Source organism: Homo sapiens, chromosome 1 (assembly GCF_000001405.40).
Source record: "Homo sapiens chromosome 1, GRCh38.p14 Primary Assembly".
NCBI lineage: Eukaryota > Metazoa > Chordata > Mammalia > Primates > Hominidae > Homo > Homo sapiens.
Window position 1 is genome coordinate 77718492 of NC_000001.11, and position 18734 is coordinate 77737225.

Sequence of the window (18734 nt, forward strand, 5' to 3'; positions counted from 1 at the left end):
TCAATTCTTCAACCAAGCAAAGAGAATTTATTACTACATTTTGTTACATTAATACTTTATGTTCCTACCACACAATATAAGTTGAATTAAAATAATGCCCATACCTCAGGAAAGTTTTGTACTTTACAAAACTTCACTCCATTTCTCAACCTAAGGGGAGAAAAGAGAAAATCAATTAGTCTACAAAAAAACTTAGTATATTTAAATTTGCAACAAAAATCTTTTAGAAAATGCAGAGATCCAGCCTGGCAAACATGGTGAAATCCCGTCTCTACTAAAAATACAAAATTAGCCAGGCATGGTGGCACATGCCTGTAGTCCCAGATACTCAGGAGGCTGAGGCAGGAGAATCACTTGAACCCGGGACACGGAGTTTGCAGAGAGCCAAGATCGCACCATTGTACTCCAGCCTGGGCTAGAGTGAGACCCTGCCTCAAAAAAAAAAAAAAAAAAAGAAAGAAAGAAAGAAAATGCAGAGACAAAAGATATCAGACTAGAAATACTTGCCACTGAATTACGTTACATGTATACATTAAATATCTTAATCAAAACACTGGAGTCCCTTATTGTAAAAAATAATTTAAACTGGCCAGGCGCAGTGGCTCACGCCTGTAATCTCAGCACTTTGGGAGGCCAAGGCGGGCCGATCATAAGGTCAGGAGATGGAGACCATCCTGGCCAACATGGTGAAACCCCATGTCTACTAAAATACAAAAAATTAGCCGGGCATGGTGGCGCACGCCTGTAGTCCCAGCTATTCATGAGGCTGAGGCAGAGGAATCACTTGAACCCAGGAGGCAGAGGCTGCAGTGAGTCAATATCGTGCCACTGCACTCCAGCCTGGGGACAGAGCAAGACTCCATCTCAAAAAATAACAATAGTAATTTAAACCAAGATATCGGTAATCAAAAATTTAGAGAGCTGTATAACTCTTTGATGAAAATTGTTTTGTTTTAACAAATGTGCTACTGTCTGTGGTGTGGCTATGCCTTTAAAACATCTAGATATTAAGTAAAACCAGATAAAGCAAAACCTCAGTTTTATAAAATTTGTAGTTCAAGTCAACATATCAAACTCTTGGCCAGGCACCGTGGCTCACGCCTATAATCCCAGCATTTTGGGAGGCCAAGGTGGGCAGATCACCTGAGGTCAGGAGTTTAAGACCAGCCTGACCAATATGGCAAAACCCCATCTCAACTAAAAATACAAAAATTAGCTGGGTGTGGTGGCGGGCACCTGTAATCCCAGCTACTCAAGAGGCTGAGGCAGGGAAAATTGCTTGAACCCAGAAGGCAGAGGTTGCAGTGAGCCGAGATCACACCACTGCACTCCAGCCTGGGCGACAGAGCAAGGCTCCCTCTCAAGAAAAAAAAAAAAAAAAAAGTCTTGGCCGGACACAGTGGCTCACGCTTGTAATCTCAGCATTTTGGGAGGCCAATGTTGGCAAATCATGCAAGCCAAGGAGTTCACAAACAGCCTGGGCAACATGACAAAACCCCATTTCTACAAAAAATACAAATTAGCCAGGCATGGTGGCATGCATCTGTAGTCCCAGCTACTTGAGAGGCTGAGGCAGGAGGATCGCTTGTGCCCAGGAAGCTGAGCCTGCAAAGAGCTGTAATCATGCTACTGAATCTTCAGCCTTGGCGACAGAATGAGACTATGTCTCAAATGAAAAAAAAAAAAAAAAAAAAAAAAAAAAACCTTTATTCTTACATGTGGAAAAAAAGATAAAGGATGGTTATTATTATATAATCAAAATTAATATACATTTGACAGATCTCTACTTTGAATATGGAGGTAGATGCAAGGTTCTTTTCCATCTTCACTGTTATCTTTTTCTTAGTATGCTTTGCTTTACAAGGAACAATCCCCTTCCAAGCCAACTTCCTTTTCAGCAGTCAGCTAGGGCTTCAAGAACAAAGTGATACTTTCTCCAAAAGTAGAAGTCAGCTTTTTCATCTTTATCAACCAAATAGTATACCATTCCTTTCTGTCATGTCATGATCAGTTGCAGATCAATGTTTCCTTTAGGTTACTGCCAAGAACTAGAAGTCTGTATTATCCCAGATCTTATTAGCAAGCCGTTGCATTCCTATTACAGAGATTGAGAAGAAATTTCCAGTTCACTTTGCCTCACAAATAGTTGCTTTTCACCAAGTCTTCCAACACTTTTTTCTGACTTACCACTAAGAAGCATTAAAAGTCTAAATTGATTACAAGACAGAAAAAGGCAGCTGGTAGTAGATGTAAACAAAATCAGACTTTAGCTGTCTTTCTCGTATGCCATTGTTAACAGCAGATAACATCGAAGTCGGTATAACCTTTAGGAATTTTATGTGGATATGAAACTTTGTACCTTTCACTTCCTGAATCTAGCCTGTTAAAATGGTAATTCAGAAGAAAATATTGCCTTATTTAGGAAAACGTTTTATGCAAAATCACATACAGATTTCATCCCTCAAAATATACTCTCTCACATCTTAATAAGCCTATTAAATTTGTCAAATTTTTACCTCACATTTGTTTCACAAAACAGCTAATCTCTATTATTACTAGGATAAACCTTTCTGGCCTACATTTTTCTAAATACAGTGGCAAATTTAACTCCACATACCCAATTCTAAAAACCAAGAAAAATACACAACATGCAATTAAAAGCACTGTCAATGTCACTTACTTTTTGCATTTTTCACAACTGTACATATTGTCACCTGCAAATAAAACAGATCTGGCATTGGTTTCAAATTAACAGCAAATTGCTTATTATGGTCCTGTAATTATTTGATTTTGCCCCATGCTGACCTCCCAGCACAGAAAAACAAGGTTCCATTTTTTTAATCTATGCTCATGAATCAGGTTACTGTTTACCTTCCCCTCCCTTAACTCCTGCCAACATTGAAGACCTACCTCAAATAATATCTTTTCCATTTATTCATTGAACAAAACTTACTGACTGCCTGTCATATGTCCAAGCAAGGTGCTAGACACACAAAAATAGTGAATGACCTTAAATGATATGGAGTAGTTCACAATTACAGACACACAAATAAGTCCATTATTTTGGTTGAGTTTGCCCTTCTATGGATCTCAGAACAGCTTTAAAACATTTCACTTATCATTTGTCTTATACTACAGGAATTCACATGAATTCCTTCAGGATGTGATTTTTCTTGTTATATTTATATTATCAAGGTAGACACTAACCGAATGCCAATATGTGAATGTACTATTAAGCTGTCTTAAAACTGAGCTTTTATGAATACACTTTATTATTTAGTCCCACTAGTATTTTAGATTTACCTACAAAAATTTAGCCATAGATATTATATTTCTTACCTTTTAGTTCATCTCTGGCAAAGAAGGCAGCAAGACAATCTTGCAAGGTTACTACTGGACCCCAAAACCAGCTAGGGACACATGAGACAACAAACCTGAAACATCATTGATAGAAAAAAAAGGAAGTGTTCTGCCAGTACAGCAGAAACAGCAGGTTTAACAATCATGTAATACAAAGAAAATAAATACATACCTCTTCACATATTCCATGAAAAAAGCTATCCACCCTTGTGGAGCATATGCTTCGCCACATGATCCTGCTTTGACTATAGAAGTTGGATGACTTGATGAATGCAGCTTAGCAAGGTCTTCCTTGCCAGGAATTGGCAAGGACAGATCTTGAAAGGTCTCGAGGGTTACAGACACCTAAAATTGTTTTGTGTTTTAAAAATGGGATGAACATAATGCAGTAAAACATTTCCAAGGTTAGATTTTAGACTCTAAAGATCAAAGCATGTTTAAATAAGCAAAAAAAACAAAAAACAAAAAAAAACACGCAAATTGAACTGCTTTCATAGTCATAATAGCAAAAAAAAAAACAAAAACAAAAAACAAAACACACTTGCTCTGTACCAGGTATCTTCACGTAAGTCCTGTGCAGTAGTATTAGCATCCCCATTACAATCACAGACACTGCAGCATTAAACACCCCAAATCCAGCCACTGCATCTTGAGGTCCAAACTCTTAAGCACTATTGTATTTATTTTTGAAAATTGACCTTTGATGGTAGTTTTAAAATATTTTTTTAAAAGGGTGAGACAAAATCTGGCATCTAATTTTAAATAGCTAAAAACATGCCTGATAATTCCACTTAAATATTTAGTACCAAAATAACCTACATTAAAACGACCCGATTGAAAGTTCTTAGATTTGACTTGAGATTCTAACACAATAATTGAAATCTTCTTTTTGTTTTTGAGATGTTATTTCATATTCATCATTGCACTAAAGTAAAACTGTACTTAAGAAAAGCTCAAAGAAACTTTGAAGAAGTGTTATTAAAAAATTCATGATGATTTTAATGTATGCTTTGTTATTGTCTATGAATTTGATACTACCTTTAGTATCTGAGTCCCATCCTAAACATGGAAAAATATTTACAAACCATATATGACCAAATGTAAGAGATACATTCACAGCTTTGTACCTGTGAATATCAACAGATTCCCAGTATACAAATTTCATCAGCCTGGGAGAATATGCAGGTGTTACCAATTCTTGTTGCTGAGCAACTTCTCACCTTTATATGTAACCAAAATAGATGACGAAGGATAATATGTGCCTGTCCAATGATGGGTCACCATCCTTTAAACAGGATGCTGCTACTTCCAAAAAAAATTCTACACCTAGAATCAAATTTGTGTTGATGTAAACACAATAAATGCATGTATGCTCATCAATAGCAAAGAGAAGGAATTAAACTTTTCACATCATCTTGTCACATTTTTAAAAATCATTTGACACGAATTTTCTGTGTATTCTAATACCCTCATACTCACCCTGTCACAAGTCAGACACTGCACTGAACTAATGATTGTTCCATCAAATATGTCTGAAATAACACTTCTGTATTTCTTGTGCTGTTTTTTTCTCTTTGGAGATGCAGACTGAGCTAGGATTGAAAAACATTAAAAAAAAATCAAAGCAGCTCCTTTAACATTTTTCTCTGGAATCTTTTTTTGTCTTGTCAATCTTACTTGTATATGATCTCTAGAATCCTTAAACTGTAAAAATTACTGTGTTGAAAATTTTCAAAATACTCTTCAAAAGAGCATAAGTATTAAAAAAATAAAAGAAACTAAGCAGACAAGGCTTAAGATATTTGTTGTTTTTTTTTGTTTTTTTGTTTTGAGGTGGAGTCTCGCACTGTTGCCCACACTGGAGTGCAGTGGTGCGATCTCGGCTCACTGCCAAGTTCTGCCTCCCGGGTTCATGCCATTCTCCTACCTTAGCCTCCCAAGTAGCTGGGACTACAGGCGCCCACCACCACGCCCAGCTATTTTTTTGTATTTTTAGTAGAGACAGGGTTTCACCATGTTAGCCAGGATAGTCTCGATCTCCTGACCTCATGATCCACCCACTTCAGCCTCCCAAAGTACTGAGATTACAGGCGTGAGCCACCGCACCCAGCCTGTTTTTTTTTTTAAAGTATAAATGATCCTTGGCCACCATAAATGTACATATGAGAAAATGAACAAAATTCTAAATTAGCACAAAACCACAAATGCTTCATCACTGGGATGTTTACTTAAATGTTTTACAAGTCAAAAGAAGAGGGGAAGAGGTTAGAAAGTGAGGGAAAGATGATGAAAGTCATCATCAAGCTAAAGATGAAATAGAAGGGGTTCGGTCTCCCTATCCTGACTTGAGAGCAATTCTGTTTTCACTTATTTGTTTTTGTCTCCAGGTAAGGCTTTATTTGAAGAAAAGATTCTATTATTTAAAGTTTTTAAGAGTTCTTTATATATTTCTGGATACATGTCCTTTGCTAGCTATATGATTTATAAATACATCCAACCTTATCTTTCCATTCTCTGAATGTCCTTTGTCAACAAAAATCTTTAATTTTTTTCTTTAATGGATCATGCTTTTAATGTCTTTAAGAACTCTTTGTCTAACCCAAGGCCATGAAGACTTTCTCCTATGTTTTCTTCTAAGAAAACATAATACTGGAACTCCCATATATACCTGGAAGGAATACTAAATGGTAGACACTCTGGTAAAAAGTCTGGCAGTTTAATACAACTATAAGCATTAAACAAACATAAAACCCAGTAACCCCACTTCTAGGTATTTGTCCTAGACAAATGAAAAAATGTTCTTACAAAAACCTATACATAAATTTTAGAGCAACATTATTCATAATTGCCAAAAATTGGAAACAATTCAAAAGTCCACCAGTAGGTAAATAAACAGTGGTATACCCATAAAAAATGAGATATTAGGCCGGGCATGGTGGCTCATGCCTGTAATTCTAACACTTTGGGAGGCAGAGGTGGGGAGATCACAAGGTCAGGAGTTCGAGACCAGCATGGCCCATCTCTACTAAAAATACAAAAAATTAGCCAGGCATGGTGGCGTGCACCTGTAGTCCCAGCTACTCGGGAGGCTGAGGCAGGAGAACTGCTTGAACCTGGCAGGCAGAGGTTGCAGTGGGCCAAGATTGCACCACTGTACTCCAGCCTGGGCGACAGTGAGACTCCATCTCAAAACAAAACAAAAAAAAAGAAACATTACTTGGTAGTAAAAGGAACAAACTATTCAGACACGCAGTAACATATCTGAATTTCAAATGCATTATCCTGAGAGGCAAACCTGTTTCAAAAGACTACATATGAAAAGATTTAAAAAAATCAAAAGACTACATACTATATGATTTCATTTATATGACATTCTAGGAAAAGGCAAAACAATAAGAAAAGAGGATCAAGGGTGCCAGAACATAGGAATAGAGAAATGATCTGATTACAAAGTAGTACTATGCAGGAATTCTTTGGGGTGTTAGAGCTGTTCTGTATTCTGTTTGTGGTGGTGGTAACAAGAATCTATGCTGCAAGTGTTAAAATTCATAAAGCTCTATACAAGAAAAAGTGAATTCAACTGTATGTAAAATTTTAAAAGCAGAGTACCAACACACAAAATTTTTAATCATGTCTATGTAAAATTATGCTATCAATTTTAAAAGATCAAATCATATTTCATAATTAACACTTTAAATTATCAAGTACCAAAACCATCATTTTAAACTAAGACCCAAAGCAAAAGAGACTGAATAAGAGAAACGTTTTACCTTTTTTGTGTGGTGGTGCCAATCCTGGCCACAAATTGCCTGATTTAGGAGGGCTTGCCGATAAACGTGGATTAACACCTTCATTTGATGGAAGGATCTGTGGTGTAGACAGGTCATTCGAATGGACATCAGTGATATATTCTGTAAGATTTAAAATTTGCATTATTACCTTAAATAGTAAAATTATTCTAACTGTCCAATAATGTTAAAGGTTTCTTAATTTGATATTTTGAACACAATCATATTAACAAATGTCAAGTTAAATACTTAACAAAGTGCTTACTAAGCAAAATAACAGTAATCTTCTACCCAGAAATCCAACTAATTTTTGTTTACTTGTTTTTTTGAGACAGAGTCTCCCTCTGTCCCCCAGGCTGCAGTGCAGAGGTGCGATCTCAGCTCACTGCAACCTCCGCATCCTGGATTCAAGCGATTCTTCTGCCTCAGCCTCCCAAGTAGCTGAGATTACAGGCATGTGCCACCAGGCCCACCTCATTTTTGTATTTTTAGTAGAGATGGGGTTTCACCATTTTGGCCAGGCTGGTCTCAAAGTCCTGGCCTCAAGTGATCCACCCACTTTGGCCTCCCAAAGTGTTGGGATTATAGGCATGAACCACCGTGCCCAATCCCAACTAATGTTTATAACACACGACTATTACAGGCAGTTTAGGAAGTGAGCAGTGGAAATACAAAGCCAAAGAGGATCTTGTTTGTCCAAATATAGCATTAAAAAAAAAAAAAGAGGCTAGGCTGGGTGGCTAACGCCTACAATCCCAACACTGGGAGGCCAAGGTGGGAAGACTGCTTGAGCCCAGGAGTTCAAGACCAACTGCGCAACATCATGAGACCCCCATCTCTACAAAAAAATCTAAAAATTAGCTGGGCATGGTGGTGTACACCTGTAGTGCTGGCTACTCAAGAGGCTGAGGTGGGAGGATCACTTGAGCCCAGGAGGTTGAGGCTGTGGTGAGATGTGATCATGCCACTGCACTCCAGCCTGGGTGACAGAATGAGACCCTGTTTCAGGAAAAAAAAAAAAAAAGATATTCAGGACAGGTTTTTAGAAGTTCTAAAACCATGTGAAAGAAAAATCGATTATTCTCCCAAACTAACATAATAATCAAAATCAAGAAATGTAGGTATAAAGTAATCATAAGTTATTTTATCTTACTATAATAAAAAATACACCACTTCATCAGGAAAGAATCTTTTTTTAGAATTAAATTATAAGATGAATCAAGAAAATATAAGAGCTACCTTGATTGTTTGCTTTGGATTCCTAGTGCCTAACATATTCCAGGGCAAGGGAATGTGCTCAGTAACTATTTGAGTGAAGAAAAGAGAATTGTTCGTAAGAGATCTGGAAAGGGGATGTACTCAGAAATTTTTCCAGATAATGCAAAATCATTTTTCACACAGGCATTTCTCAATATTTCAATCATGACTAAATCAGACTGCATAATATTGGGAGTGAAAAAACAACTCACTCTAGGACTTTCTGAAGGGAATAAAGTTAATGAGATTTAGATGGGGAGTTGGCAATTTTTTCCTCTAACGGACCAGAGATGAAGTGTTTTAGGTTTGTGTGCCTTACAGACTTCGCCAGATTTTTTTCATCAAGCCCTTAAAACACCTAAAAGCTCAGACTCCTGATTTAGGTCATCCCCTTGTTACTATGTGTAAGAACAAACCTGTTACAGAGCAATCAAAGATGAGTATGTCCCTAATCAGGCTTAACTGGGCTTTTGACAAGAAAAGCCTGGACAGCAGTCAAAGCTAAGTCTTTCAATACTGATACCTGACATATTTATTCACTAACAACTTCTACACAAGATCAGTATAATTAAGGAGCCTAACACTCCTAGTCTTCCCGATTAGAAAGCATCTGTGCACTTTACCCAAGTGAACCACAAGTCTTCCTATAGTTAATAATATTTTCAAGAAGAAATTTTGGATTCATTCAAATACCTAAATAAATTGCTTAGTTACTCTCACTCTTCAGTAATTACAGAAAATAAACTTTTTTACATTACATGTCTGCCACTTATTTTAAGATCACATAATTTGAACCTCTAATGGCCCAATTTTGTGTGCTTTGGAAAACTACATACCACATTTTAAGCCAAGATAAGTTAACTCTTGAAGAGATAAATTACAAAGCAATTCAACTTTCATTTGGCCACATGCTCTTTCTCAAAGGAACACTGACTAGTATCATGGCATAATCTATCACAGCAGGGCTCACTATAGTTAATTCAACTTCTACACTAAAACACATCTGATGTGACTCCAATGACAACAATCTAAATCTACTAGTGTATATAATTAGAAAATTGCAATTTGGGTTATTTGCTTTTTTCCAGGATCGCAACATAATTTGCTTAAAATAAAAGAGAAAATTCTGGGGAGCCCAATTTTTTAGATTACTGCATGACTACACAAAAGACATCTGATGAAATGTTTACTTCAAAAGGAGGATTAATTTCTTATATAATTAAATGACCCAAAAAATTCCTTTTATCCTCGGGTTCTATAATTTTATGACTAATACTCACATGCAAATACTGCTAAACTATAATTCTAATTAGAAATACCCAAAGTAACAATTATTTAAACACCCATGTCTACAAATGAAATACTATCATTTTCATGAACAAACTACTAAATTGTCACCTGAAGCTCTGCTGTGTATTTGCACTTTGACAGTTTCCTGGTTGTTTAAGTCGACTGTTTCAGATATAGAGTCTCTATCTTTATCAAATTCGCCTTCAGAATTTACTTTATTAATCTTATTGCACATCTTCTCTTTTTGCCAATCCTTTGACATTTCTGAATTGTTTTCATCATCCTGAATTAACATTGTTGTTTCATTATTATCTTCAGAAAAGCATCTAGAGCCATTTTCATTTTCTGCTCTATCACTGTTGCTACAAGATTCACAAGACTGAAAATCTACATCCGACTGGCTCTTGTCTTCTTCCATTGTCTCCTCAGTGGTTATGGTTTGCGGATCTTCTTCTACTTCCATGACTTGCTCTTTCAATTCTTCATGAAGCAAATCCATTAAACATCGAAGGAATTCTTGAGCATCCTAATATATCAGCAACATAATGTTAACCACTTCATTACATGTGTATATAGAAACGTAAGGGAAAATATACAAAATGTCATTACAAACTTATATATGAAGGTACAGCACTATATTGAGCAAATACCAGTTTGGAGAGCATAAGGCACTAGATAAATGAGATGCATTAACTTCCAAAAAGTTATGTAAATAAAAGTTTTCTTTTTTTGAGATGGGGTCTCATTCTGTTGTCCAAGCTGGAGTGTTGTGGCATGACCACAGCTCACTGTAGCCTCGATCCCCCAGGCTCAAGCAATTCTCCCACCTCAGTCTCCTAAGTAGCTGGGACCAGATGCACGTGCCACCACACCTGGTTGATACATATTTCTAAATTATTTTTAGAAATGAGGTCTCCCTATGTTACCCAGGCTGGTCTCAAGCTCCTGGGCTTAAGCAATCCGCCTACCTCGGCCTTCTGAAGTGCTGGGATTACAGGCATGAGCCATCACGCCCAGCCAGATAAAAATTTTAAAAAACTAAAGATGATCTGAAGATCAACTTCCGCTGGATGCAGGGGCTTATGCTTGTAATCCTAACACTTCGGGAGATCAAGGAGGGAGGATCGTTTGAGTCAGGAGTTCAAGACCAGCCAGGGCAACATAATGAGACATTATCTCTCTTAAAAAAAAAAAAAAAAAAAAGGCTGAGTACAGTGCCTCATGCCTGTAATCCAACACTGTGGGAGGCCGAGGAGGGTGGATTACCTGAGGTCAGGAGTTCAAGTCTGGCTTGGCCAACATGACGAAACCCTATCTCTACTGAAAACACAAAAATTAGCTGGGCGTGGTGGCACACATCTGCAATCCCAGTTACTCAGAAGGCTGAGGCAGGAGAATCGCTTGAATTCGGGAGGTGGAGGTTGCAGTGAGCCAAGATTGCACCACTGCACTCCAGCCTGGGCGATAGAGCAAGACTCTGCCTCAAAAAAAAGATAAAGATAAAGGAAAGTTGAAAAAATATAAACAATAAACATGAAAAAGGGTTACTATTCTTGGCAAAAGAAAGACACAAGGAGTGATGACCCCAAAAGATAAGTAGACCCAAAAAAAACATAATGGCATTTTCCAAATTTATTTAGATTAAAATTACAAATGAAAAGCAATAAACTAACCTGCTGAGAATACCCCCGAAATGTTGGATTTACAGTTTTAATTCCTTGAAACAGAGTAGTAGGCACAACAGATCCTGGCCTGAGCAAGAAAACATTTTTAAAGAGCAATTTTTGTTATTTTTAATTTTCATTTTAAAAATTAACTACCAATAATTCAAAGTGTTAAATAAATTGAAAAGTATGTTTCAAAAAAATCATTCAAAACTGCCTAATATTATGTTTCACAGGCACATCAGAACACCTTATCCTTGATATTTTAAGTGATATTTTACTGCTATCCTCCCTCAATTAAATGATTATGCTTCACCCCATGACTTTTCAAAAATGCAAGTTTCCTGAATAGTTCTAAAACAAAATTATTAACATATTACAGCAAACTATGATCCTAATGCTAAACTTTAGAACAAATAAACATAAGCAGGAAAATATTCATATAGTATTTAGGGTCTGATTTTATCATTGTGAGAATGGCTGCTCCTGAATGCAAAACTCTAAAGTTCCAGTAATAGCAGCTTTAACATTCCAACACTATATACTATATCCAAATACTTGTAGACTTCTATGACACCTTCATCTGCTTCTAAACTTCTATGACACCTTACATTCAGCTTCAAATGTAACATGCCTGAAACAAAGCTGTCTCTAATCTATCTCTCTTCTACTTTTTTCCGGCTCCATAAATGGACCTGCAACCTTTAAATATTTATAATATTCATTTAAAAGTTTAATAAAGAAGAAGAGTATATTAAGTTACATACCTGCTTTTATGCCACAGCTCTGTCATTAGTTTGAGATAACTTTTACAAATGGCAGGTTTCTTATCTGTTCGAGCTAGTCCTCCACAATCAAGAAAAAACTGTGTCAAAGGTGGGCTAATTTTAAAAAGAGAAAAATGTTAGAGTGGAGTCAAAGCTAATACTGATTATTTCTAGTCATTCAATTAACTGACAACACATACATTCCTTTAGCCGTTATTTCTTTCTTTGATCCCTCTTACAGCTTCACTTTCATTCCTTCATAAAGAGCTCAATCCATTCAAATCAGATTTGGCCCCAGCATATCAAGAGTCCTCCATGCTGCCAGATACACTTTTCAGTCCCCACTCAGTAACATTTGCCACAGACAACTATGCCCTCACTCTTGAACAAACATTCTCAGGACTATTGTAATGCATTTTCCTACTTTTCCTCTTTAGCTCTTGAAACTCCTTTTCCCTCTCTATTGCTCTTTTTGGCCTCAGACATGTAAACGTAAGGATTCCTCGGGACTTGATCCTATGACATTTCCCTATATACTTTTTTCCCCTGGGCGATCTAAAATTTTCAACCATATTCCAATGATGGTCAAATTTATATAAAGTCAACCATGTCATCTAAATTTCAGATTTATATGAAATGCCCAAACTAAACAGGATAAAAATTTAACTTTCAAGTGAACCTGCACTTCCTCCAGCCTTCTACATTCCATCATTTGGTATTAATATTTGTTGGTGGCTCAAGTTAGCAATTTATAAGGAAGTATAGTCTGTCTGTCGTGAGTTTGATTAGCTTGAGGGAATCTCCATAAATCTATTTATAGGAAACTGATTAGGCAAAGGACCAAATCCTGACCTACATAAACCAAACCTCCTATGAAGGCAGTTAGATAACTACTAAGTCATCTCTTTGCCAAGTGTAATCTTTTTTTTTTTTTTGGTAGAGACAGGGTCTTGTTATGTTGCCCATGCTGGTTCCAGAACTCCTAGGCTCCTCAAGCAATCCTCCCACCTTAGCCTCCCAAAGTGCTACAGGCATGAGCCACCACACCCAGCCACCAATAGTGTAATCGTATCAGCCACATCTTTTTCAATGAAATCAGAGGAATTACAAAGTAAATCGGTGGAAGCAGTATTGTGCAGTAATAAACAAAACATCTACAAAAACAAACATACACGTAAAAATCTCAGACTCAGAATTTTGTCCCTGCCAGGCATGGTTGGTCATGCCTGTAATTCCAATACTTTGGGAGGCCAAGGCAGGACATGACTCAAGGACAGGAGTTCAAGACCAGCCTGGGCAACATAGCGAAAACCCATCTCTACAAAAATTTTAAAACATTATCTGGGAGCACTGGCATGCACCTGTGGTCGTAGCTACTTGGCAGGCTGAGGCAGGAAGAACCCTTGAACCCAGGAGTTCAAGGCTTCAGTGAGCCATGATCGCTCCACTACACTCCAGCCTGGGTGACAGAGTAAGACCCTGTCTCTAACTTAAAAAAAAAAAAAAAAACCAGAATTCTGCTAGTACTTACTAGCTGGTTATATCGGCAAAGTTATTTAAACTTCTGTGTCTGGTTTTCTTATCTGTATAAAAATAACAATAGTATCAACCTACAGTTCTCTTATCACAGGTTTGTACTGTTAAACTTTGAATCTCCTCTCCCTTTCTCTAGTTACTCTACCCACATCCTATCAATCAATCATCCTCCTAAAAGTGTTTATCTCCAATTCCTTCACTCTTTTCCTACCACCCTAGATGATGTAAACTACCACTACTTCTTGCCTAAATCATTATCATAGTCTCCTAGCTGGTCTTTCAAATTCCACTCTCTTCCCCCTCCAATTCACTGTCCACATAGCAACCACAGTAATATTTTAAAAATATAAGAGAGATTATTAGCTACCCTACTACACAAACACTTCAATGGTATCGTACTACTATGAGAATAAAGACCTACATCTTTAATGTGGTCTACATAACCTAGACCCATGTCATTCAGCCCTATGATTACTGTACCCCGTCACACAGATTTTCTTCCAGTTCCTCAAATGTGTCAAGCTCTTTCCCATCCCAAGGCTGCTTACAAGGAGCATTCTGCTAGGAATGCTCTCCCCATCCTTTCAAACAACCAACCGATACTCATTCCTCAAGTTTCAGAGTAAATGTCTCTTCTTTTTTTTTTTTTTTTTTTTTTTTGACGGAGTCTCACACTGTCACCTGGGCTAGAGTGCAATGGCATGACCTAGGCTCATTGCAACCTCCACCTCCAGGGTTTACACAATTCTCCTGCCTCAGCCTCTCGAGTAGCTGGGATTACAGGCACACACCACCACACCCGGCTAATTTTTTGTATTTTTAGTAGAGACAGGGTTTCACTATGTTGGCCAGGCTGGTCTCGAACTCCTGACCTCATGATCCACCCGCCTCAGCCTCCCAAAGTGCTGGGATTACAGGCATGAACCACCACGCCTGGCCTAAATGTCTCTTCTTTAACGTCCGAGCACAGTGGCCCATGCCTATAATCCCAGCACTTTGGGAGGCTGAGGCATGCGAATCACTTGAACCCAGGAGTTGAAAACCAGCCTAGGCAACAAGGTGAAACCCCATCTCTACAAAAAATTTAAAAATTAGTCAGGTTTGGTGGCATGTGCCTGTAGTCTCAGCTACTCAGGAGGCTGAAGCAGGAGGATCACACAAACCCGGGAGGCAGAGCTGCAGTGAGCCAAAATCGTGCCACTGCACTCTAACCTGGGCAACAGAGTGAGACCCAGCCTAAAAAAAAAAAAAGAAAAAAAAAGTCTCTTCTTCAAAGATGTGTTCTCTGATCACTTAATAAAAATTAGGTTATCTTTATTTCACAAGGTTATGAAACATAAGAAAACTGAAGGCAAAATATTTATGGAGGGTTATGTCTAAATAAAAATTAGATTATTTGGGGAAGAAGTACAGCTTTAATATCCCTAATACAAAATACAAAATTCAAAATGCTCCAAAATCCAAAACTTTTTGAATGCCAACACGATATCCAAAGGAAATGCTCATTGGAGCATTTCAAATATTGGATTTTTGGATAAGGAAAGCTCAACCAGTAAGCATAATGCAAATAAATACTCCAAAATCCAAAAAAATCTGAAACACTTCTGATTCCCAGCATTTCATATGAGGGATACTCAACCTGTAGACATACGTTCAATCTCCAATCACTGCTCTATAATTTAATCCAAGGGAAAGGGTAATGTCAAAGTCATTGATTTCTGAATTTTGGTCCAGACTCAATGCATCTAATTTCAAGGGTAATATCACCTGACTCAATGCATCCAAACTTGAGTAAAACCACCTGACATATCTATTTTGTAAGACTACGATTAAAAAAAAAATCTAACTCCTTTATTAAAGGCTTTCCATCTACAGAAAAATATAAAATATTTTCATAAGATCTCTGAATTAAAAGTGATCTGAATAATTAGCTGACACTCATTTTCTAGATGTAAGAAACAATAACTTGCTCAAAGACACACAACTACCCAGGGTTTACACAAGGACCAGCAGCCTCAAGAAACTACGGGTATACATAGAGTAACATCGTTGGGACAAGAATGGGTTATGTCCCAAACCAGATTCTTGCCTGTTCTACCTTGAGTTAGTCAACTACTATAGTTGCAAGGTTTTCTGCTCAAAAAATAACTTAAAAAATTATACAAATAAAACAAAATTAATTTCTCTATTTACCAATTAGAAAGAGCCTGCAAAGCTGCATTCATGTAACAAGTATTTCCAATATTTTTCAAACCTGTAAGACCTATTAAGAAAAAATATACATGAAGTCATCATTCAATAATGCAAAATGACTCAATTTTAGGGGTCATTAATATGGTTCCCAAATTACATTAAGGACCACGGAAATACAATATAGCAACTTGAACAATTCAGAGAGGTCACACTTTGGGAAGCCTTACAATCACCAAAATTTTGAGTTTTACATAAATTCAAGGATTAAACAGTTCAAACTTTGAAATTTGCACAGGAAGAACAGTCTTTCCTATTAACATTTAAGACTACGTGTTTTTAAAAAGCATTAATTGAGACTTTTACATTTCTTATTATAACTAAAGTTTAATTATTTTGAGAAAATTAATGACAATGCAAAAAAACTCGTCATGATAAATGATAAGCAAACACCCTTTTCCTTTCCATTTCAACGTATTGCACTGAAAGTAGTATTTATGCCGGGCGCAGTGGCTCACGCCTGTAATCCCAGCACTTTGGGAGGCTGAGGTGGGTGGATCACGAGGTCAGGAGATCGAGACCATCCTGGCTAACATGGCGAAACCCCATCTCTACTAAAAATACAAAAAATTTGCCGGGCATGGTGGCGGGTGCCTGTAGTCCCAGCTACTCGGGAGGCTGAAGCAGGAGAATGGTGTGAACCCAGGAGGCGGAGCTTGCAGTGAGCCGAGATTGCACCACTGCACTCCAGCCTGGGCAACAGAGCGAGACTCCATCTCAAAAAAAAAAGAAAAAAAGAAAGTAGTATTTATTAGGTTGAACCATAGGAAACTGCTGACAATCTACAAAAATGGCAATTTCATATGGTTCAAGCTAATATTAAAACGAGCCATTGAATGACTGTTATCTCTTCCATATATAGTCAAGTTCACTTTCATCAGTTTACTTTCATTATTAAAAGATGAAATAAATACTACAAAAAATTATAAATGCTATTTGGATTTGGAGCAAAATGAAGAAAATTTAAAATTCTAAAAATCTCTAAAACAAGACTGAATTACCACTTATTGATAAGTATCCAGTAAAATTAATAGTGTGAGCTAAATTAATGGGTTAAAACTGGGAAATACATAAAATATTTATAACTTATCTCTAGTCATGTTAAGCTTAAACCAAAGTGTTAATTTCCAGATAATTATCTAAATATACATTCAATGTACCACTAGTATCAATTATAAAACAGAAAATTTTAAGCTTATACTAAGAACAGTGGGCCTAAAAGAATATGAAAAATCCAAATAGACCGGTTCTCAATTTAGGGGAAGAAGGGAGAAGTGTATCACCTGATTCTTTTTCCAAATGTTTTCCCCGGAACTTCTGCTAAGGGAATACCTTTATACCTAATACCTCCCCATCACTGACAATAGAAAAATGAGAAACACTGTTCAAACAGACCTCAAAAGGCAAGTTAAACAAAAAGATCATAAGGCTCAACTGCAAAAGAGTAAGTAGGATCCTACCTTTGGTAAACTGACACCAGAGAAACCAAAAGTTTGTTTTGCAAATAAAATTTTACTAGGCCAAATTTCAGAGTCCTTTTGTTTTAATTATCAAGCCCATTTTACCTCCACATTTTGAAACTTTTACATTATATGGTTTTCTAAAGAAATGGGCAGTGCCATACAAAGAAGCGTTACACAGGATTAATTTACCTCTGGCCCTAAGTTCATCTTCTTCATCCGCTTCTATATCCAGATCATCAAATACGGCAACCAGAGGAGTTTTTAATGTTGTATTACTGGGTATTTTAAAATCCTTGATAACAAAAAAAGATAGCACACTTGAACAAATCCTTAAATTTAAAAAAAGTTTTAATTGTAACTTATATAACATCTATACCATAAAAATTATTGAGATGTTATTTTAATAGTGGAACCATAAGAATTTGTGGTATTAGCAATTAAACTTACATTTATATTTTGAAGGAAATAAAACCCTAGGGTAATAGCATGTCAGTCCCGCTTTATTAACATATATATTTGAGTTAAAAAGGCACTTTTTACAACCGAATTTTCTGAATTAAAACTCCACAATAACTGCAATTATGTGACAGTAAACCATAGCTAAAAAGATCTCCGAAGGATACTATCCTACACTGTCTTCTCAGATCTCATTTTCAACAGGGAAAAAGGCAAAAGTTTTTCATCATAACACATTATCTATAGACTTCTACAATCTCTCCTGATACTTATTACTGTATTTACTTTGCACACTTTTTTTTTTCCGAAACAGAGTCTCACTCTGTTGCCAGGCTGGAGTGCAGTGGCACGATCTCAGCTCACTGCAACCTCCACCTCCTGGGTTCAAACGCTTCTCCTGCCTCAGACTCCCAAGCAGCTGGGACTATAGGTGCATGCCACAACGCCCAGCTAATTTTTGTATTTTTAGTAGAGAAGGGGTTTCACCATGTTGGCCTGAATGGTCTTGATCTCTTGACCTCATGATCCGCCCACCTCGGCCTCCCAAAATGCTGGGATTACAGGTGTGAGACACCACACCCGGCCTGCACACTTTTACGTATATTAAATAGTTCAAGCACTTACTTTAAATAATAATATTCTAATATTAATTTCCAACAATTGGCTTGACTCAGAGGTTGCAACTGATAACCTGTTAGCCAAATGCTAGTAAACACTTTAAAAAAAAAAACGAAAAAAACTTTGAGCTAAAGTTTAAAAAATTCGGAGACGACAAATAAAAATCAAAATTTGAAAGTTCTCTTGTAATATCAGAAGATTGAACTACAATGAACCAACATTCAGCAACACCCAAACAGAGAAGGAAACTGAATAGCAGAAAGAATTTAGCATGTACTCTGGTTC

The 18734-nt window shown here is 37.0% G+C and overlaps 1 protein-coding gene across 16 annotated transcripts in view; it reads right to left on the reverse strand.

Moving 5' to 3' along the window:
- USP33 (ubiquitin specific peptidase 33) overlaps positions 1-18734 on the reverse strand; it is a 63866-nt gene that overhangs the window by 22505 nt on the left and 22627 nt on the right. For 7 of the 16 annotated variants that reach the window (NM_001377437.1, NM_001377436.1, NM_001377431.1 and 4 more), the window contains 11 exons: positions 17565-17667; positions 15856-15925; positions 12127-12240; positions 11369-11447; positions 9804-10221; positions 7131-7271; positions 4840-4952; positions 3533-3705; positions 3340-3410; positions 2681-2714; positions 105-150 (listed from right to left, as the gene is read on the reverse strand). In NM_001377437.1, coding sequence (NP_001364366.1) covers positions 105-150; positions 2681-2714; positions 3340-3410; positions 3533-3705; positions 4840-4952; positions 7131-7271; positions 9804-10221; positions 11369-11447; positions 12127-12240; positions 15856-15925; positions 17565-17667 — 1362 coding nt within the window. Of the gene's footprint in view, positions 1-104; positions 151-1820; positions 2096-2680; positions 2715-3339; positions 3435-3532; positions 3706-4839; positions 4953-7130; positions 7272-9803; positions 10222-11368; positions 11448-12126; positions 12241-13657; positions 13710-15855; positions 15926-17564; positions 17668-18734 lie in introns of those variants that run through there. The other 9 variants (NM_001377435.1, NM_001377434.1, NM_201624.3 and 6 more) reach the window with 3 other exon arrangements.